The sequence below is a fragment of the Homo sapiens genome, chromosome 1 (genome assembly GCF_000001405.40).
Source record: "Homo sapiens chromosome 1, GRCh38.p14 Primary Assembly".
In the NCBI taxonomy this organism is placed as follows: Eukaryota; Metazoa; Chordata; class Mammalia; order Primates; family Hominidae; genus Homo; species Homo sapiens.
The window spans coordinates 246,981,535-247,004,624 of NC_000001.11; the positions used below are offsets into that span (position 1 = coordinate 246,981,535).

The window sequence follows — 23,090 nt, forward strand, 5'->3', positions numbered from 1 at the left end:
AAAAATAAAGTTTTCGTGATGTTTTTGTTCTATTAGTCCGTCATCAGTACAGGAACTCAGGTATTTACCAGTGTGCTCAGGGCCTAGCACAGAACATGGGAAGGACTGAAATATTTTAGAACTTTTACTTTAAGCTTGGGGGTACCTGGAGCTGCTGTTCCTGATGGTGATGGTATAGAAAACAGTAAAGAAGCAGACAGTGCTAATGGTCCCAATTTGGCTATTGTAGAAACACAGAAAACAATTTAGCACCCCAAAATCACTGAGGAAATTGTTTTAATCCAAAAGCTACCATGATCTCTGAGATGTCTTTAGAGTGAATGGCCAAGCGGTTGGCTAGCTAGGTGATTAAGAATGAAGACTATGGACTGCCAACTGCACCCAATGAAACATAGGAAGAGATTTAAAAAGTTCCCAAGATTGCAAAAATAAATCTAAATGAAAGATTATTTCAGGCCGGGGGCAGTGGCTAAAGCTTGTAATCTCAGCACTTTGAGAGGACGAGGTGGGCGGATCACGTGAGGTTGGGAGTTTGGGACCAGCCTGACCAACATGGAGAAACCCGGACTCTACTAAAAATACAAAATTAGCCAGGCGTGGTGGTGCATGACTGTACTCCCAGCTACTTGGGAGGCTGAGGCAGAAAAATCACTTGAACCTGGGAGGCGGAGGTTGCGGTGAGCCGAGATCGCGCCATTGCACTCCAGCCTGGGCAAAAAGAGTGAAACTTAGTCTCAAAAAAAAAAAAAAAAAAGATTATTTCAAATTTTAAATCCACAGAAGTCATTCTATTATTGTTCAACACAACACACACATTCAAAAATAGGTTCTGCATGGAAACATAAGGTGTGCTGTAAGTGTTTCATAGAAAATTAAATTCAAAATTATCCACTTATCATTAACTCTCCTTAAGAATTTCTAAGATACATTTGCTCTTCAGAGATTTCCAAATTCTGACATGTTTATTTACACACTGCTTACAATACATAGTCCAATATTATTAAAGCTTTACCTATTCTAATTAATTATACATTCACCACACTTTGTGTCAGGATTTTAAAATATTTTCTTTTAACAAACAAACAATGCTAACTGCCCGATTTAATTCTCTGGCCCATGGACAGTGCATCCCTCTCCTCCATTAAGAGTGTTGCTTGGCCAGGCGCGGTGGCTCGTGCCTGTAATCCCAGCACTTTGGGAGGCCGAGGCGGGCAGATTACGAAGTCAGGAGATCTCTATCTATTTATATCCTTTTAAACATCTCTCAAATAAGTTTGAAAATTTTCTCCGTACAACTCTTACATATTTTATGTCAGCTATAGACTTAAGTATTCCATATATTTGATGCAATTATCAATGGTGTCTTTTATTTTAAAAACAATTTTCTGGCCGGGCACGGTGGCTCACGCCTGTAATCCCAGCACTTTGGGAGGCCGAGGCAGGTGGATCATGAGGTCAGGAGATTGAGACCATCCTGGGGAACACGGTGAAACCCTGTCTCTACTGAAAATACAAAAAAATTAGCCGGGTGTGGTGGCGGGCGCCTGCAGTCTCAGCTACTTGGGAGGCTGAGGCAGAAGAATGGCATGAACCTGGGAGGCAGAGCTTGCAGTGAGCCGTGATCGCGCCACTACACTCCAGCCTGGGTGACAGAGCGAGACTCTGTCTCAAAAAAAAAAAAAAAGAATGTGTTGCTTGTAGCTGGGCCACATGGTGGCACATGCCTGTAATGCCAGCACTTTGGGAGGCTGAGGTAGGGGGGTTGCTTGAGCGCAGGAGCTTGAGATCAGCCTGGAAAACACAGTGAGACTTCATTTCTACAAAACAATAAAAAAAATTAGCTGGGCATGGTGGCATGTGGCTGTACTCCTAGCTACCCAGGGAGCTAAGATGAGAGGATAACCTGAGCCTGGGAGGTTGAGACTGCAGTAAGCTATGATCACAATGTCAGTTTTGTAAAATATAAATGACCTCAAACTCTCCAGTTAAAAGTCAATCTATTGGCTGGGCGCAGTGGCTCATGCCTGTAATCCCAGCACTTTGAGAGGCTGAGGTGGGTGGATCACCTCAGGTGAGGAGTTCAAGACCAGCCTGGCCAACATGATGAACCCCATCTTTACTAAAAATACAAAAATTAGCCAGGCATGGTGGTGCGTGCCTGTAATCGCAGCTACTTGGCAGACCAAGGCAAGAGACTTGATTGAACCCAGGAGGTGGAAGTTGCAGTGAGCCAAGATTGCACCACTGCACTCCAGCCTGGGTGACAGGGTGAGACTCAGTCTCAAAACAAACAAACAAACAAACAAAAATCTATCATCACATTAAAAAATTTCAAATTTCCAGGCCAGGTGTGGCTCATACCTATAATCCCAGCACTTTAGGAGGCCAAGGCAGGTCAGTCACTAGAGCTTAGGAGTTCAAGACAAGCCTGGGAACATGGTAAAACCTCATCTCTACTAAAAAAAGAATTAGCTAGGAGTGGGGGTGCACACTTCTAGTCCCAGCTACTCAGGGGGCTGAGGTGGGATGATTGCTTGAGTCTGGGAGGCAGAGGTTGCAGTAATCCGAGATTACACCAGTGCACACCAGCCTGGGTGACACAGTGAGACCATGTCTCCAAAAAAAAAAAAAAAAAAGAAGAAGAAAAAGAGAAAGTCCAAATTTCCTGTTAGAATGTACAAAGTACTATATAAGATGACATATTGTGTGGAGAACAGTGAGAAAGTGTAGCCATAACACAGGTTTTAAAAAAAAAAAAAAAAAAAAGGAGGAGAGCTGGAATGCATAAGTAGTTGAGAAGAAAGAAAAAGAGACCACAAAAAAACAGAGATAATTTGGAAATAAAAGCAGAATTCCTCTTCAGAGAGAGTCAGTTGTGCAGCCTGGGTAGAGAAGTCCTTTCTCTGCATGCAGAATCAATGCCAGGTCTTCATCCTGGATATTTCCAATCTCTTACCTGGAGCCACAACTTCACTCCAAAAAGAATATTTATTGTTAATTATGGAACATCTACTACACATCTGGCACTGCGTTATGTTTCTTCACTTCATTTATATGCCAAATAGCCCTATGACTTATAAAGCCTCCAAAGTGTTTATCTGAACAAATTGCCCAATAGAGTCAATAAACTCAATTACTCAATTAAGTGAAAGAAACAATAACAAAAAAAGTTGGCTCGAATAGTGTTCTCTAATAATGGAAAAATGGAAATGTACTAATTAAGTACAATGAAAATTAATACACTCACTGTGGAATTATTCACATCTTCAGATTATTTTTTAAGCACCAATAAGTTTCATAAAATCATTATTATAATCCCTGAGAAGATCACATAAGAAATTCTTCATGAATTTTGGAACAAGAAAATTATACGTTAGCTCTAGCATGAGCAACATAAAAGTAAAAACAGGAATTTCATGTGGAAATTCTGCAAAATAAGATTTTAGAGAAATGCCTTCAATACAAAGCAGAGAAAACAGATTTGCCTTCGACATTTTTGAGGTTTCTAGTTTGCTAATAAATTATCCATACTTTTGAAATTATGTTTGGTTCCAACATTTTTCTCTTATTCTGAAAACAGGTATGCACTTACTTCAAACACATTACTTGCTTCATAACTGTCTTACACCTAACATTTATCCTTAGAGTAGTATATTTATGTATTTATCTCCATGTAAACCAAAACTAAAAGCATGTATATGTTTTGCAGGCCAGAAAAGCCACATGTTAAAAGGAAAATGTAAATAAAATTTTGTGAATAGTCCTTCAAGATTCAGAAATACACGGTCTTTGATTATAATCCTATATAGGCTTTATTATAGCCTTAATAATGACACTGTCATTACAAAAAGAGCAAACAGAATGAAGGTGTAACGTGTGGGAACAATATTTTTCAAATTATTTGAAGTTTAATGCCACTGGGAGAAGGGATCATTAGAGATACTATTCCACCATGTTACCCACTATTGTATTGTTACCATTTGTTACCTACAACCGTAACTAAGGTGAGATAGGTTAACGTTGGTGGTAGGATACGCATCACTTAATGTACAACGGTCCAAAGACATTAAAACAATGTCTTATTAAAACAAATTAAGTTCAAACAGTCTAAAAAGAGCATTTCAAAATCCACTGAATTTTATTACCTTAATGTGCAATAGGAAAAACAACTGACTTGTAAAACTCAAATGTTTCTTTCTTAAATATAATGCAGAATAGTACTCTGAAGACCTATCTCATGAATCACTTACAACCCTATTATAAGACAAGTACAAAGAGCCTCTCCAGTTAAATTTCTTCAGGAAGCTTACAATGCAATGTCCATAATCTTCCAAAGAAAAGGATATGAACAACACCCACCCGAATATAGAAGAAACTCTCACAGCTTTCATGTAGCAACAGTAGGCCTCATGCCTTCACATAAACACTAGAAATGAAGGCATGGTATCAAGTGATTTAAGACTTGAATTACATAAATATGTGATTTTCAAAAAAGCTAAAACTCTTTCAGTGCACCGAGTATACTTTATTATTATGTTGTTATTATTATTATTGAGAAAGGGTCTTGCTCTGTTGCCCAGGCAGGAGTGAAGTTGCCAGATAGCAGCTCACTGCATCCTCAACCTCCAGGCTCAAGCAATCCTCCCACCTGAGCCTTCCAAGTAGCTGGGACAACAGGCATGTGCCACCAAGCCTGGCTTTTATTTTACTTTTTGTAGAGATGAGGTTTTGCCATGTTGCCCAGCCTGGTCCCAAACTCCTGGGCTCAAGCAATCCCCCGACCTCGGCATCCAAAAGTGCAGCAACTATAGGAAAGAGCCACCGTGCCTGGCACCAAAAGGTATACTTGAAATGTAATTATAACTTCCCCAAAAGGTGAATCTCCTACTTACTTTAACTTAACTTTGAATTATTCTCTATAACCAACACTCAGATTTACAGTAATGTCTGAAAGTGTCAGTGACTTAGTGCTTTTTACTATGAATTCTTGGATGTGTTTTGATGTAATTTTTGATTAGACATTTTTTCACATTTACTGCATCTGTAAAACAGTTTTTAGTGTGAACACTCTGGTGTTTTCTGAGGTATATTTTTTGAACAAATGTTGTTTCTGCATTTATTACATTTGTAGGGTTTCTCTCCAATACAAAGTCTTTGAAATTGAATACAGTTTGAGCAACTGGAGGGTTTCCCTCCAGTATAAATTCTTCTGTGTACAGTAAGAGCTGTGATATAAGTGGAGGTGTTGAACCGGTCTATTTGTATTGTTCGTAGCCTAAACATTTTAGTGCACTCAAAGGCTCATAGACTGTAAATGGCCTTTTGACAGTCATTACATTTGTAACACTCTTATTCAGTAAAAATATTCTGCTGTGAAGTTGTGAATAGGTATTAAAGACTATGCCATATTGTTTAGAATTGTAGGGTTTTTCTCAGGTATGAGTTTTCTCATGTACAGCAAGTTGTGCAGAGTGGTTAAAGGCTTTGCCACATTCCTCACACTTGTATGGTTTCTCTCTGGTATGAATTGTCTTATGTTTAGAAAGGTGTGAGCTCTGGCCAAAGGCTTTGCCACATTCTTCACATTTGTAGGGTTTCTCTCCAGTATGAATTCTCTTATGATTAGTAAGATATGAAAACCAGTTAAAAGCTTTGCCACATTCATCACATTTGTAGGGTTTCTCTCCAGTATGAATTCTCTTATGTTGAGTAAGGTATGAAAACCAGGTAAAAGCTTTGCCACATTCCTCACATTTGTAGGGTTTCTGCCCAGTATGAATTCTCTTATGCTGAATAAGGTATGAGAACCAGGTAAAAGCTTTGCCACATTCCTCACATTTGTATGGTTTCTCACCAGTATGAATTCTCCTATGTTCAGTCAGATGTGAGCTCTGGTTAAAGGCTTTTCCACATTCTTCACATCGGAAGGTTTTCTCTCCAGTATGAATTCTTCTATGTTGAGTAAGGTATGACAACAATTTAAAGACTTTGCCACATTCTTCACACTTGTAGGGTTTCTCTCTACTATGAATTCTCTTGTGTTGAGTAAGGTATGGGAACAACTTAAAGGATTTGCCACATTCTTCACATTTGTATGGTTTCTCTCCAGTATGAATTTTCTTATGTTTAGTAAGAACTGAGCACAGGTTAAAAGCTTTGCCACATTCTTCACATCTGTAGGTTTTCTTTTCAGTATGATTTTTCTCAACAACAGCAAGACTTGAGCAAGACTTAAAAATGTTATTACATTCTTCACATTTGCAATGTTTCTCTCCAACATGAATTCTCTTACAGTCAGTAAAGCATGAGCACTCATTAAAGGCTTTGCCACATTTTTTACATTGGTACGGGTTCTCTCCAATATGGATTCTCTGCTGTTGAGTCATTATTAAAGACATGCAAGAGACATTGCCACATTCTTTGCATTTGAATGGTTTTTCTCCAGTATGGCTTATCTTACATTTATTTAGATTTGCAAATTTACTAAAACCTTTCACACATTTATTGCATTGAAAGTTTTTGCTATGAGTAGTTGCTGAGCATAGGTCAAGTCCATTATAACTTGCCTTCTGCCCTTTCCACTCACCCACAATTTCCCAGTCATTCCTTAAGCGTAATTTCTCAAGACAACATCTTTCATATCTTCTCAGCATCACTTTTTGGAATGAAACTTGCAGGCCCTGCTCTGGCAAAATGTCTTCAGTAAGATAAGAAGACAAAACTGGAAAAAATAAAAACAACAAATTATTCCACTTACTAGATAGCATCCTTTACAAATCTAAGGCATAAAATTATACAAGCATATTAGCAAGATAGCATAATGAAATACCACAGGCCCTTATTCCTTCATAGTCATAATCCTAACAAAAATATACTAAGCAAAATGCCATTATGAGAATCCTAAAAGCAGCCAAAGGGGGAAAAAAAGAAATGACGTACAATGAAGCTCCAGTACGCCTCACTGCAGACTTTTCACCGGAAAACTTACAGGCCAGGAGAGAGTGGTATGACATACTTAAAGTGCTGAAAGAAAAAAAACCTTTACCCTAGAATATTATATCCAGCAAAAATATCCTTCAAACATAAAGAGAAATAAGGATGGCCAAACAAAAGCTGAGGTATTTCATCAATACCAGACCTGTCCTACGAGAAATGATAAAAGGAGTACTTCAATCAGAAAAGAACATTAATTAGGCAGATCACCTGAGGTCGGGAATTCAAGTTCAGCCTGACCAACATAGAGAAATCCCGTCTCTACTAAAAATATGACATTAGGCCGGGCGCGGTGGCTCACGCCTGTAATCCCAGCACTTTGGGAGGCCGAGACGGGCGGATCACGAGGTCAGGAGATCGAGACCGTCCTGGCCAACACAGTGAAACCCCATCTCTACTAAAAAATACAAAAAAAAATTAGCCGGGCGTGGTGGCAGGCGCCTGTAGTCCCACCTACTCAGGAGGCTGAGGCAGAAGAATAGCGTGAACCCGGGAGGCGGAGCTTGTAGTGAGCCAAGATCGCGCCACTGCACTCCAGCCTGGGCAACAGAGCGAGACTCCGTCTCAGAAAAAAAAAAAAAAACGACATTAATTGGGCGTGGTGGCGCATGCCTGTAATCCTAGCTACTCGGGAGGCTGAGGCAGGAGAATCGCTTGAACCCGGGAGGTGGAGGTTGTGGTGAGCCAAGATTGTGGCATTGCATTCCAGCCTGGGCAACAAGAGTGAAACTTTGTCAAACAAACAAAAATTAAATGATGAACAAATCAAAAATGATAACTACAACAAGTTTTCAAAACATAGTACAATAAGAAACAGCAAAAAGTTAAAAATCAGGAGTACTAAGCTAAGGCGTAGAGTTTTTATTAGTTTTCTTTTCACTTGCTTTTTTATGCAAAGAGTGTTAGGTTCTTATCACGTTAAAATACATCAAACCAAAAAACATACAATGGATACACAAAAAATGAAAATCAGGAAACTAAATCATATCACCAGAGAAAATCACCTTCACTAAAGGAACATAGACAGGAAAGAAAGAAGACCACTAAACAACCAGTAAACAAGTAACAAAATGGCAGGATTAAGCCTTACTTACCAATAACAACATTGAATGTAAATGGAGTAAATTATCCATTCAAAAGAAATAGACTGGCTGAATGGATGAAAACACAAGACCCACTGACCTGTTGCCTTTAAGAAACACACTTGAGGCCAGGTGCAGTGGCTCACACCTGTAATCCCAGCTCTTTGGGAGGCCGAGGCGAGCAGATCGTTTGGGCTTAGGAGTTCAAGACCAGCCTAGGCAACATGGTGAAACCCATCTCTACCAAAAATACAAAATTAGCTGGGCTGTGGTCCCAGCTACCTGAGAGGCTGAGGTGGGAGGATTGCTGGAGCCTGGGAGGCAGAGGTTGCAGTGAGCCAAGATTGCACCACTGCACTTCAGCCTGGGTGACACAGTGAGACCCCATCTTGAAAGGGAGAAAGGGAGAAAGGGGAAAGGGAAAGGAAAGGAAAGGAAGAGAGAGATGAACGAGGGGAAAGGGAAGGGAAGGGAGAAAGAGAGAGAAGAAGGAATGAATGAAGGAAGGAAGGAAGGAAGGAAAAGGAGAAGGGGAAGGAGGGAGGAAGAGAGGAAAAGGAAGGAAAGAAAGGAAAGGAAGGAAAAGAGAAAGAGAGAGAGAAAGAAAGACACTTTACCTATAAAAACGCACATAGTCTGAAAATAAAAGAATGGAAAAGGAAATTCCATGAAAAACAAACAAACAAACAAAAAAGAGCAGGAGTCACTATACTGGTGTCAGTCAAAACAGATTTCAAGACCAAAAGTATAAGAAGAGAAAAAGAAGGTCATTAAATAATGATAGAAGAGTAAAATCAGCAAGAGAATATAACAATTGTAAATATATATTTATCCAACACCAGAGTACCCAGATATATAAGGCAAATATTATTAGAACTTTAAAGAGAGGCCCCAGTACAGTAACCGCTATATACTTCAGGACCTCATTTGCAGCACTGGACAAATCTACTAGACAGAAAATCAATAAAGAAACATCGCACTTATCTGCACTATATGCCAAATGGATCTAATAGATAGTTGCAGAACGTTTCATGCAACAGCTGCAGAATACACATTGTTTTCCTCAGCACATGGATCATTCTCAAGGATAGACCAAATGTTAGGTCACAAAACAAGTCTTAAAGCATCCAAAAAATGGAAATAATACCAAGCATTTTCTGTGACCTCAATGGAATAAAACTAGAATGAAAAGAGGAATTTTCAAAACTATACAAATACATGGAAATTAAACAATACGCTCCCAAATGACCAGTGAATTAAAAGAAATTCAGGAGGAAATTTAAAATTTCTTGAGACAAATGATAACAGAAACAAAATATACCAAAACCTATGGGATACAGCAAAAGCAGTACAAACAGGGAAGTTTATAGTTACAAGTGCCTACATCAAAAAAGAGGGAAAACTTCAACTAAACAATCCAACAATGCATCTTACAGAACTAGAAAAGCAAGCGCAAACAAAACCCAAAATTAGTAGAAGAAAAATAATGAAGATCAGAGCAGAAATAAATGAAATTAAAATTTTAAAACAATTCAAAAGATCAATGAAACAAAAAATTAGTTTTTTGAAAAACAAAATTGAGAAAAACCTCTAAGACATTAGTCTAAGCAAAAATTTCTGGAGCAATACCGCACAAACACAGACAACCAAAAAAAAATGGACAAATGGGAACATATCAAGTTAAAAAGCTTCTGCACAGCAAAGAATGCAATCAAAGTGAAGAGACAACCCAGAGAATGGGAGAAAATACCTGAAAACTACTCATTTGACAAGAGATTAACAACCACAAGTTATAAGGAGCTCAAACAACTCTATAGGAAAAAAATCTAATAATCCGAGCCAGAAAAAGCTCAGGAGATGTGAATAAACATTTCTCAAAACAAGACACAAATAGCAAACAGGCATATGAAAAGGTTGTCAACATCACTGATCATCAGGGAAATGCAAATCAAAACTACAATGAGATATCATCTCACCCCAGTTAAAATCACTTATATCCAAAAGCCAGGCAATAACAAATGCTGGTGAGGATGGAAAGAAAAAGAAACCCCGTACACTGTGGGGATGTAAATTAGTACCACCACTATGAAGAACAGTTTGGAGGTTTCTCAAAACACTAAAAATAGAGGTACCATATGATCCAGCAATCCCACTGCATATGTATAGGCCAAAGAAAGGAAATAGGTATATCAAAGATACCTGCACCCCTATGTTGGTTCCAGCACTATTCACAACAGCCAGACTTTGGAAGCAACCTAAGTATCCATCAATGGGCAAATGGATAAAGATAATGTACTACTTATAGGCCGGGCGCGGTGGCTCATAACTGTAATCCCAGCACTTTGGGAGGCCGAGGTGGGCAGATCACAAGGTCAAAAGATTGAGACCATCCTGGCTAACAACGTGTAGCCGGGCGTGGTGGCGGGCACCTGCAGTCGCAGCTACTCGGGAGGCTGAGACGGGAGAACAGCGTCAACCCGGGAGGCGGAGCTTGCAGTGAGCCGAGATCGCGCCACTGCACTCCAGCCTGGGTGACAGAGCGAGACTCTGTCTCAAAAAAAAAAAGAAAATGTACTACTTATAGACAATGGAGTACTATTCAGCCTTAAGAAAGGATGAGATCCTGTCATTTGCAACAACATAGATGGAACTGAAGGTCACCACGTTAAGTAAAATAAGCCAGGCACAGAAAGACAAACATTACATGCTCTCACTTATTTGTGGAATCTAAAAGTCCAAACATTTAACTCATGGAGATAGAGAGTAGAAGAATGGTTATGAGGCTGGAAAGGGTAGTGGGTGAGTGGGTGGGGGAGGTGGGGATGGTTAATGGGTGCAAGAAAATTACTTAAAAAGAATGAAAAAGACCTACTATTGAATAGCACAACAGGGTGACCATAGTCAAAGATAATTTCAGCTGGACATTTTAAAATAAAGAGTATAATTTGTCTGTAAGTCAAAAAATAAATGCTTGAGGGAATGGACACCCCATTTTCCCTGATATGCTTATTTTGCATTGCATGCTTGTATCAAAATATCTTATGTACCTCATAAATATATACACTATGCACCCACAAATTTTTTTAAATTTTTTAAAAATCCTTTCTGAGAACTCTAAAAATCAATGAAGGGTTTGCAGGTGAGCACAATGCCACAAGCCCCATAGAATGGAAGGAAAGTTGGTTCCATTTACCCACCACAGCCCTACCTTTTTTCCAATAAGGTAGGTGCCCTTAGGAGTAAACTTCCGACTTCTCCCTCAGAAAATAAAGAAAATAGTGGCACATGTGTCCATACTTTTGGGGGCTTGAAAAAGACTGGTTTCTGTCTCCTATTACACAGAGTACTGAATGGAATGATGGTATACTTTGACCGACAGGTTGGTTCTGTTGAGACCAATAATAAATGGTTGTTATAGCAGATGAGAAACTGCAGTACGAGAGATGGGCAACAGATATAACAAGTGATTACAGCCTCTTAAGAGGAAACATGTGAAAACCTCTGTAATTAAGAAAATAGCCGGGTGCAGTGGCTCACGCCAGTAATCCTAGCCCTTTGGGAGGCCGAGGTTGGCAGATCACGAGGTCAGATGTTCAAGACCAGCCTGGCCAACACGGTGAAACCACATCTCTACTAAAAATACAAAAATTAGCCAGGCATAGTGGCACGTGGCTATAATCCCAGCTACTTGGGAGGCTAAGGCAGGAGAATTGCTTGAACCCGGGAGGCAGAGGGTGCAGTGAGCCGAGATTGCAGCACTGAACTCCAGCCTGGGAGACAGAGTGAGAGACTCTGTCTCAAAAAACAAACAAACAAACAAACAAAAAAAAACACCATTCCAGAGAAGACATATCCCAAGAACAAGTTTGAGAGGCTCCCATAATCTCTAGCCTGGTCAACTGGTGTCAGAATTTCCCAGAACAATGCCACTTTATAAAGATTGAAACAGGTGGCTTTTTGTTAATTTCAAATCTGAACAAAAGATTACAATGTATACAAAGTATCAGGGTACTTAACGCCCCAAAAAGGAAAAATAAATATCCAGATAGCAACCCTAAAGAAATGGAGATATATAAATTATCTTTAAAAACTCAAAATAATCATGTGAATAACATTAATAAGTGAAATAAGAACACAGACAACTAAATGAAATCAGGAAAATGGAAGATCAACAAAAAGATAAAAAGTATAAAAAGAAATAGAAATTATGGAGCTCAAGAATATAAGGTAAGCAAATGCTGAAAAAGTCATCAGTAGACCTATACTCAAGAAATGCTAAAGGGGCTGGGTGCGGTGGCTCACGCCTGTAATCCCAGCACTTTGGGAGGCCAACGTGGGCGGATCACTTGAGGTCGGGAGTTCAGGACCAGCCTAGCCAATATGGTGAAACCCCATCTCTACTAAAAATACAAAAAAATTAGCTGGGCGTGATGGCACAAACCTGTAGTCCCAGCTATAGGGAGCCTGAGGCACAAGAATCACTTGAACCTGGGCGGCGGAGGAACAAAAGCGTAAAAATAATTATAAACATCTGTTCATATAAAAAGATATGATCAATGACATCAGTAACCTAAAGTTCAGGGCAGATGTACTGAGAAAAAAAATTTGTATGTGACTGAAGACATTACCAGTTTAAAATATATTGTTGTGGCCAGACGCAGTGGCTCACACCTGAAATCCCAGCACTTTGGGAGGCTGAGGTGGGCAGATCACCTGAGGTCAGGAGTTCGAGACCAGCCTGGCCAACGTGGCAAAACCCTGTCTCTACTAAAAATACGAAAATTAGCTGGGCGTGGTGGCACGCGCCTGTAACCCCAGCTACTCAGGAGGCTGAGGCAGGAGAATCGCTTGAGCCTGGGAGGCAGAGGTTGCAGTGAGCCGAGATCACGCCACTCCACTCCAGCCTGGGTGACAGATAGAGACCCTATCTCGAAAAAACAAAACAAAGCCGGGCGTGGTGGCTCACGCCTGTAATCCCAGCACTTTGTGAGGCTGAGGCAGGCGGATCACGAGGTCAGGAGATAGAGACCATCCTGGCTAACATGGTGAAACCCCATCTCTACTAAAATTACAAAAAATTAGCTGGGCATGGTGGAGGGCGTCTGTAGTCCCAGCTACTCGGGAGGCTGAGGCAGGAGAATGGCGTGAACCCGGGAGGCAGAGCTTGCAGTGAGCCAAGATAGCCCCACTGCACTTCAGCCTGGGCGACAGAGCAAGACTCCGTCTCAAAAACAAAAACAAAAACAAAAAACAAACAAACAAAAAACACGAACAACTCACAGGAGACAAAAAAGACAATAAATAATAAAAGGTTTTGTTCACAGAAAACCTATGACAAATGTATGTCTGTGTATTTATGTCTACATCTGTGTCTCACCAGGGTTCACGATATATAAAGCAACTATTTACAGAAATGAAGCAACAAGTACACAGGGAACGGGGGACTTGAAAGCACTATAAAACAGTGACAACCAACAGACCTCTAGAGAACACCCTAAACAACAGAATCCACGATATTCTCAACAGCTCAGAAAACATTCTCCTTGACAGACCACCTGTCAGGCCACAAAACAAGTCTTAACCCATTTTTAAAAATTAAAATCTTATAGATTATTATTTATGACCAAAATGGAATAAAACAAGAAATCAGTAACAGAAAGAAAACTGAAACATTCACAAATATACGGAAGTTCAACAACACACACTTGAGCATGTTCTTCATGGGCTAGAAGACTTAATATTACGAAGATGTTCATATCACCCAAGTGACCTACAGATTCAGTGCAATCCTCTCAAGTTCACAATTTCGTTTTTGCAGAAATAGAAAAGGCAACCCTAAAATTACACAGTGCGTGAAGGAACCATGAAGAGCGCAACAATCTCCACAAAGAAGAACAATGTTGCAGGTATCATACTTTCTGATTTTAAAATACATTATGGCCACGCGCAGTGGCTCATGCCTGTAATCCCAGCACCTTGGGAGGCTGAGGTGGGTGGATCACCTGAGGTTATGAGTTAAAGACGAGCTTGGCCAACATGGTGAAACCCCGTCTCTACTAAAAAGACACGGTGGCACATGCCTGTAATCTCAGCTACTCAGGAGGCTGAGGCAGGAGAATGACCTGAACCCGGGACGCAGTTTGCAGTGAGCCGAGATCGCACCATTGCATTCCAACCTGGGTGACAGAGCTGAGACTCTGTCTCAAAAAAAAAAAAAAAAAAAAAAAAGAAGCTGCGGTAATTAAAACAGTTTGGTATTGGCATAAAGGCAGACAGTTAGGTCAATGAAACAGAATAGAAAACACAGAAACAAACCTCCACATATATGGTCACATGAAGAGTTCTTTGCATGCCCATATTTATTGCAACATTATTCACAAAAGCTGATAGGGGAAAACAACCCAAACTTACCTCACCAAATGAATGGTTAAATATAATTCAGAATACACAAATAGGCTGGCAGTGGTGGCCCGTGCCTGTAATCCCAGCACTTTGGGAGGCCAAGGCAGGTGGATCACCTGAGGTAAGGAGTTTGAGACCAGCCTGGCCAACATGGCGAAACCTCGTCTCTACTAAAAATACAAAAAAAAAAGAAAATTAGCCAGGCGTGGTGGTGCATGCCTGTAGTCCCAGCAACCCAGGAGGCTGAGATGGGAGATCACTTGAATCTGGAAGGTGGAGGCTGCAGTGAGCTGAAGTCGGGCCATGCACTCCAGCCTTGGCGACAGAGTGAGACTCCTCGCAACAAAATTAACTCATACTAGCACCACAGATGCCCAAGAAATCGAGATGTCTCAAAAAACAAAACAAAACAAAACAACCCCACAAATAATGGAATATTACTCAGCTTTTACAAAGCAGGAAATCTGGTAAAATCTACAATAAAGATGAATCTTTAGACGCCCAAGAAATTGACATGTCTCAAGAAAAATAAATAAATAAAACCACAATGGAATATTACTCAGCTTAAAAAGCAGGAAATCTGGTAAAATCTACAATAAAGATGAATCTTCAAGAAAAGCCCTTTGTCCTGATGTGATTATTATGCATTGCATGCCTGTATCAAAGTATCTCATGTACCCCATAAATATATACACCTACTATGTACCCTTAAAAATTAAAAATGAAAATCTTGGTGACATGCTAAATGAAGTAACCCAGTCACAAAAAGATAGAGACTGTACGAATCCATTTATATGAGATATCTGAAACAGATCCTTAAAAAATAGAATGGTGTTTCTAAAGGGCCAGGCAAATACACACACACGTCATAAAGAAAATGTACTGGCATGTCTACTGCAAGTAGATTTATCTGTAAGTTTGTTTGCCTGTAACATTTATAAAGGCAAACAAACTTACAGATAAATGTACTGACAATGTGATTGTTGCATTATTCACTTTTGCACCATAATGTCTTGAAGTGTACAGAACTGAATATGTTCATAAAAATTATAATACATAAGTAAAAACTGTTCATGTGTGGTGGCTCATGCCTATAATCCCACCATTTTGAGAGGCCGAGGGGAAGGATTGCTCGAGGCCAGGAGTTTGAGACCAGCCTGGGCAGGAGTGAGAACCCATCTATATAAAAAATAAAGAAAGAAATAAAAAGTCCAGGCGCGGTGGCTCACGCCTATAATCCCAGCACTTTGGGAGGCTGAGGCAGGGGGATCACTTGAGGTCAGGAGTTCAAGACCAGCCTGGCCAACATGGTGAAACCCCATCTCTACTAAAAATACAAAAATTTGCCAGATGTGGTGGCGGGCACCTGTAATCCCTGCTACTGGGGAGGCTGAGGCAGGATAATCTCTTGAACCCGGGAGGCGGAGGGTGCAGTGAGCTGAGATCACGCCACTGCACTCCAGCCTGGGCGACAGAGCGAGACTCTGTCTCAAGAAAAAAAAAAAAGAAAAAAGAACTACCATACAAGACAGCAATCTCACATGTGTGTGTGTGTGTAAAATCAATAGAAATAAAATCAGTATCTCAAATAAATATCTGCATCCCCATGTTCATTACAGCATTAGTCATAATTGCCAAGATACAGAAACAATGTGAATCTTTGTGAATGCTGAATGGATAAAGAAAATGTTTTACATATACATAATAGAGTATTATTAAGCAATAAACATAATGAAATCCTGCCATTCTAACAACATACTAAGTCGCTAAGTGAAATAAGCCAAACACAGAAAAACAAATACTTCCTGTTCTTCTCACTCATATGAGCAATCTTAAAAGGTTGGACTCCTAGAAGCAGAAGACACACGTGATTGCCAAGGAGGTAGGAAAATGGAAGATGGTATTAAAAGGGCACAAACTTTCAGTTATAAAATAAATAAGCTTTGGAAATCTAATGAGTAGCATCATGAGTACAGTTAATAATATTTTGTATGCTTAAAATTTGCGTTAACACAGCAGACAAGTGTTTTCAACATAAAACTAACCATGTGAAGTGACAGATGTGTTCATTAGCTTAACTGTATAATCATTTCACTAGATACAGATATCAAACCATGACACCGTACAATAGTTATCCAATTTTTATTTGTGTAAAAGAATCCACATTATACACATACATATATACACACACATATATATAAATGACACAGACCGATGAAGTTTCATACTAAACAAGAGAAAATTATAAAATGACAATTATTTTAAAGGAAGGCAACAAGTGGGAGTTTACTATATAATCAGCAATGTTCTACACTCCCCAACGACCCAGCATATTTAAGAAATCTAGGATATGAGTAGATATATTAAACTATATAACAGCTGAGAAATTTAGGCACGTAGGGTTCAAATTACAAATCTCAGTTCACACAAAAGAAAGAAAATTTTTAAGTAAACGACATTAGATTTTCTGATATTTAGGGAGATGCTTAGTCTTCTGATAAAATTACTATCAATTTCTGTAGAATCACATTTGAAATCTCCACAGGGTAAGTCATAAAGGAGAAAATATACATCCGTTTGTGGTGTTCTGGGATTTCTTAACCAAATACCAATATCACCACTACTCTCACATGTTCCACATGCAATGCAAAAAGGGATCTTAAAAAATATTTTAGGCCGGGCGCGGTGGCTCACGCCTGTAATCCCGGCACTTTGGGAGGCCGAGGCAGGTGGATCATGAGGTCAGGAGATTGAGACCATATGGGCTAACATGGTGAAACCCTGTCTCTACTAAAGTACAAAATAAATTGGCTGGGTGTGGTGGCGTGAGCCTGTAGTCCCAGCTACTCGGGAGACTGAGGCAGGGGAATCGCTTGAACCCAGGAGGTGGGGCTTGTAGTGAGCCGAGATTGTGCCACTGCACTCCAGCCTGGGCGACAGAACGAGACTCTGTCTCAAGAAAACAAATATATATATATATATATATATATATATATATATATATATGAGCATAGAGTTCCTCAAAAATACGCAGACAGTCCCATGTCCCCAAAAGCAATGCAAGAGCAGTCAGATCATGCAGTCCCCTATAAACTATGAAGATGATTGTGACGCTCACTGTAAACTTGAAGGAAAATGACTGAAGGGAAATACAGTCCTTAGACAATTTAACAGCATGAGATAGAAGATGCCCCTATGTGGGAGCAAGAGAAAGAAACCCAGGCTTCTCAGAAGCCATTTCCTGGGAGTAGAGCTTCCCAAACCACAGTTTAAAGTCTGGCTTCTTCCTTGATCCTTCAACCCCTACCTGTGTTCGCTTCATTCACTCCCACCTACCTGAGTGTCTGGCTGTCTTCTCTGTGTTCACGTTCCAGGGCTCTTTCCTTGCCTCCAGACAGATGATCAGTTCTGGCTTAGACATAGCAAGACCTGTTTTATTAGAAAAAAGGTGCATGATTCTTGCAGGGATTCTTTAATCACCTTTTACTATGCTCAGTAGAGAAGAGAAAACATCACATTAGATCCTAGAAAATTAACTCCAAAATACTGTTTTCTGACAGAACCTTTAATATATGTAGGAAGTATTTTAAATTTGTGAGTCCTTAGCCCTGCTACCAAGAACTATAATAACTGGATCAAAAATTGGTGGTGGAAACTGGATTTTGAAGTGTAGGCAACAATATTTTATACTACTGAATTTCTAGAATTACCACCAATCTAGAGCAAGGATATACATCAGCTGAATAGAAAGGTTGATGTCAAGGCAAAACATCTTGAAAGTTTTGTTTTCTACACCAAGAAATCCCCAAGGTTTTCTTGAAAGCAGTGATGTGAAACTCATTCATGCAAATCAGAAACTCCCAGAAAACATTCTACAAAGGAAAAAGATGAAATCCTTACTGTGAAATAGGAATTGCATATTGAAGCTATCCTCACCAAGGGAGATCAGGTTTCTGTAGTTCTCTAACATCACATCCCTATACAAACTCCGCTGAGCTGGGTCCAGGCATTCCCACTCCTCTGGAGAGAATTCTAGAGCCACATCCCTGAATGCCAATAGTCCCTGAAAAAGAAAACATATTTACCAAGTGGTCACGGCAGAGTTCTTAATTTGACTACAGGCAAGGAGAGACAGTGAAGAGAACTGGCTCTGACTTATATGAGTGACTAGAATTATCAAATAAGATAATTTTTAACACAGAAATATACTCTAGGCCGGGCGCGGCGGCTCACACCTGTAATCCCAACACTTTGGGAGGCCGAGGCAGGCGGATCACCAGGTCAGGAGTTCAAGACCAGCCTGGCCAACACGGTGAAACCCCATCTCTGCTAAAACCACAAAAATTAGCCGGGCGTGGTGGCACATGCCTGTAGTCCCAGCTACTTGGGAGGCTGAGGCAGGAGAGTTGCTTGAAGCCAAGCTGCAGTGAGCCGAGATCACACCACTGCACTACAGCCTGGGTGACAGAGCGAGACTCTGTCTCAAAAATAAATAAATAAACAAACAAATAAATAAAAAATATATATATATACACACACTCTAATGTATTCTCTCTGAGGAAAGAAGATGGCTTAAGATCCATGAAACCAGTGTAGGTAGTCTACTTTTGTGCATAATATAGTATAAAATTAAGGGCATCAACTCAAGCACTGGTATATTCACATCACACAGGATAAACTGTGTATTGTTCTCATATGGAGAAGTCAGGGTGAGTTAGAAGGTACTTCTCAAATTTTAACAAGTATGTCAGTGAAGTAGGAATCTTGTTAAAATGCAGGCACGGGCCGGGTGCAGTGACTAGTACACAGACCATTTACACTATAAAGCAACCACACAAACAAGTCTACATAACAACCAGCTAACAACGCAATGACAGGATCAAATCCACACATATCAAGGCCAGGTATGGTGGCTCACACATATCAACTCCAGCACTTTGGGAGGATGAGGCATGAGAATTGCTTGAGCCCAGGAGTTCAAGGCCAGCCTAGGCAAAATAGTGAGACCCTGTTTCTACCAAAAACACCACATATCAGTATTAACTTTGAATGTAAACAGGCTAAATGCCCCACTTAAAAAGCAGAGTGCAAGTTGCATAAAGAAAGAAGACCCAACTCTATGGTCTTCCAGAAACTCATGTCACATACAGTGACACCCATAGGCTAAAAGTAACCAGAAGGAGAAAAATCTGTCGAGCAATCAGAAAAGAAAAACGAACTATTCTTATTTCAGACAAAACAAACTTTAAACCAACAATAATGAAAAAAGACAGGCCAGGAGCAGAGGCTAATGCCTGTAATCAGCACTGGGAGGCCAAAGTGGGAGACTCACTTGAACCTAGGATTTCAAGACCAGCCTCAGCAACATAGCAAGACCCTGTCTCTGTTTTAAAAAAAAAAAAAGAAAGAAAGAAAAGGAGCCGGGCGTGGTGGCTCACAGCTGTAATCGCAGCACTTTGGGAGGTCAAGGCAGGCAGATCACTTGAGGTCAGGAGTTTGAGACCAGCCTGGCCAACATAGTGAAACCCCATCTCTACTAAAACTACAAAAAATTAGCTACACGTGGTGGCGGGCGCCTGTAATCCCAGCTACTCGGGAGGCTGAGGCACGAGAATCACTTGAACCCAGGAGGCTGAGGTTGCAGTAAGCTGAGATCATGCCACTGCACTCCAGCCTGGGCAACAGAGCAAGACTTCGTCTCAAAAAAAAAAAAAAAAAAAAAAGAAACAAGACAAAGAAGGGCATTGCATAGTGATAAAATGTTCAATAAAATCAGAAAACTTAACTATTCTAAATATATATGCAACCAACATTGAAGCACCCAGATTCATAAAACTATTTCTTAGAGACCTATGAACAGACACAGATAACCATACAATATTAGTAGAAGACTTTAACATTCCACTGACAGTATTAGATCATCAAAGCAGAAAACTAACAAAGATAGGGACCTGAACTCAACACCTCAACAAACGGACGTAATACACATCTACAGAACACTCCATTCAACAACACAATGCCCATTCTTCTCACCTGCACATGGCATATATTTTCAAATCAACCACATGCTTGGCCATAAAACAATTACCAACAAATTAAAAAAAAAACTGTTATCACACCAACCACACTCTCAAGACCACAGTTAAATAAAAACAGAACTCAATATCAAGAATATCTCTGAAAACCATACAGTTACAAGGAAATTAAATAACCTGCTTCTGAATGACTGGGTAAATAATGAAATTAAGGCAGAAATGAAGAAATTAAGGCAGAAATGAAGAAATTATTTGAAACTAATAAAAAAAAAGATACCGCATCCCAGAATCTCTTGGACAGAGCTAAAGCAATGTTAAGAGAAAAGTTTATAGTGCTAAATGCCCAGTTCAAAAAGTTAGAAAAATCTCATATTAACCACCTAAGGTCAGACCTAGATGAACTAGAAAACCAAGAGCATACCAACCTCAAAGCTAGCAGAAGAAAAGAAATAACCAAGGCCGGGCGTGGTGGCTCCCGCATGTAATCCCAGCACTTTGGGAGGCTGATACAGGCAGATCACCTGAGGTCAGGAGTTCGAGACCGGCCTGGCCAACATGGCGAAACCCCATCTCAACTAAAAATACAAAAATTAGCTGGGTGTGGTGGTGCATGCCTGTGATCCCAGCTTGGGAAGCTGAAGCAGGAAAATCACTTGAACCCAGGGGGCAGAGGTTGCGGTGAGCTGAGATCGTGTCACTGCACTACAGCCTGGGTGAAAGAGTGAGACTCTGTCTCAAAAAAAAAAGGGGGGGGCAGCAAAGGACTTGAAGGGACATTTCTCAAAAGAAGATATGCACATGGCCAACATGCATATGGAAAAAAGTTCGACATCACTAATCATCAGAGAAATGCAACACAAAACCACAATGATGCTCTATTACACCATTCAAAATGGTTATAATTAGAAAGTCAAAAAATAACAGATGCCAACGAGGTTGCAGAAACAAAGGAATGCCTATACACTGCTGGTGAAAACATAAATTAGCCACTGTGGAAAGCATTTTGGAGATTTCTGAAAGAACTTAAAACAGGGCTGCCATTCGACCCAGCAATCCCATTACAGGGTATATACCCAAAGGAGTATATATCATTCTCCAATAAAGACACATGCATGTGTATGTTCACTGTAGCCTTTTCACAATAGCAAAGACATGGAGTCAACCTACCTGCCCATCAACAATGGACTAAATAAATAAAATGACATACATGAACACCAGGGAATGCTATGCAGCTATAACAAACACAAAATCATGTTCTTTGCAGCAACATGAATGCTGCTGGATAATTTAATTAATACAGAACAGAGAACCAAATACTGCATGTTCTCTCTTATATGTGGGAGCTAAATATTGAGTAAACATGGACACAAAGAGGGAACAAAAGACACTAGGGCCGACTTTAGAGTAGAAGGAAGGCAAGAGTAGAAACTACCTGTTGGATATTATGCTCATTATCTGCGTAATGAAATAAATAATTTGTGCACCAAACAACCATGAAACAAAATTTGCCAATATAACAAACCTGCACACATACTCCCTGAATCTAAAATAAACATTGGAAAAGAAAAAATAAATAAATTGTAAATAAATTATAGGGGAAAAAGTTTCTCTATCTTTATAGTTTTGGTAAACTAAATTCAGTGATGGATATTCATTAAATATCCAGATCATTTCCAAATAAGATGTAATGCTAAGACATTTAGTTACTAAATTTGAGTTCATCTTACATACTTTGGGCTTTTTATTTCAGAAAAACAAAATACATTTAGATGTTGGTAAATACATTATGTTCCACACTGAAACACTGTTTCATTAGAACTATATTTCTAAAAATGTGTATTCATAAATTCTTAGTATTTGAATGACAGTAAAAATTTTTTCTTAGGGCCGGGCATGTGGCTCATGCCTGTAATCCCAGCACTTTGGGAGGCCAAGGCGGGCGGATCACCTGAGGTTAGGAGTTTGAGATCAGCCTGGCCAACATGGTGAAACCCTGTCTCTACTAAAATACAAAAATTAGCCGGGTGTGGTGGCAGGCATCTGTAATCCCAGCTACTCGGGAGGCTGAGGCAAGAAAATCATTGAACCCAGAGGGCGGAGGTTGCAGTGAGCTGAGATTGCACCACTGCACTCCAGCCTGGGCGAGAGAGCGAGACTCCATCTCAAAAAGAACAACAACAAAAAAGATCACTCATGATGACCAAGTGGGATTTATCCCAGGGATGCAAGGATGGTTCAACATATGTAAATCAACCCATGTAACACATCATATTAACAGAATGAAGGAGAAAAACCATATGATCATTTCAACTGATGCCGAAAAAGAATTTCATAAAATTCAACATCCTTCATTGATTTAAAAAAAAAACCCTCGAAAAACTGAGTATAAAAGGAGCATACACAGTAAAATCATACATGACAGACCCACAGCTAGTATACTGAAGGAGGAAAAACTGACAGCTATACCTCTAAGATGTGGAACAAGAAAAGGATGCCAACTTTCACCAGTTACTCAACTTAGTACTGTAAGTCCTAACTAGAACAGACAAGAGAACAAAATGAAGCTCTCCAAATTCAA

At 39.9% G+C, this 23,090-nt stretch overlaps 1 protein-coding gene and 1 long non-coding RNA gene across 4 annotated transcripts in view, besides 1 other annotated feature; both read right to left on the reverse strand.

Annotated features, from left to right (window-relative positions):
• The window catches only part of ZNF670-ZNF695 (ZNF670-ZNF695 readthrough (NMD candidate)), a 133,266-nt gene that overhangs the window by 35,989 nt on the left and 74,187 nt on the right, over positions 1-23,090 (reverse strand). Inside the window, exons 2-4 of the long non-coding RNA NR_037894.2 lie at positions 18,414-18,540; positions 17,814-17,906; positions 6,587-6,721 (exon numbers count right to left, since the gene is read on the reverse strand). This is a non-coding gene — a long non-coding RNA (ZNF670-ZNF695 readthrough (NMD candidate)). The remainder of the gene's footprint in view (positions 1-6,586; positions 6,722-17,813; positions 17,907-18,413; positions 18,541-23,090) is intronic.
• ZNF695 (zinc finger protein 695) overlaps positions 1-23,090 on the reverse strand; it is a 62,512-nt gene that overhangs the window by 35,989 nt on the left and 3,433 nt on the right. The window contains exons 2-4 of one of the 3 annotated variants that reach the window (NR_037892.2): positions 18,378-18,540; positions 17,814-17,906; positions 6,587-6,721 (exon numbers count right to left, since the gene is read on the reverse strand). Coding sequence is in view for 2 of the 3 variants with exons in the window: in NM_020394.5 (NP_065127.5) it covers positions 5,433-6,721; positions 17,814-17,906; positions 18,378-18,540 (1,545 nt within the window). In the remaining variant the exon portion in view is untranslated. Of the gene's footprint in view, positions 1-3,788; positions 6,722-17,813; positions 17,907-18,377; positions 18,541-23,090 lie in introns of those variants that run through there. The other 2 variants (NM_001204221.2, NM_020394.5) reach the window with 2 other exon arrangements.
• Positions 20,581-21,081: an enhancer, noted in NCBI's record as "H3K4me1 hESC enhancer chr1:247165417-247165917 (GRCh37/hg19 assembly coordinates)". NCBI's record gives its function as "activates a minimal SCP1, AML or CMV promoter by ChIP-STARR-seq in naive H9 embryonic stem cells {active_cell/tissue: H9 hESC(naive)}" and the evidence as "EXISTENCE:reporter gene assay evidence [ECO:0000049][PMID:30033119]".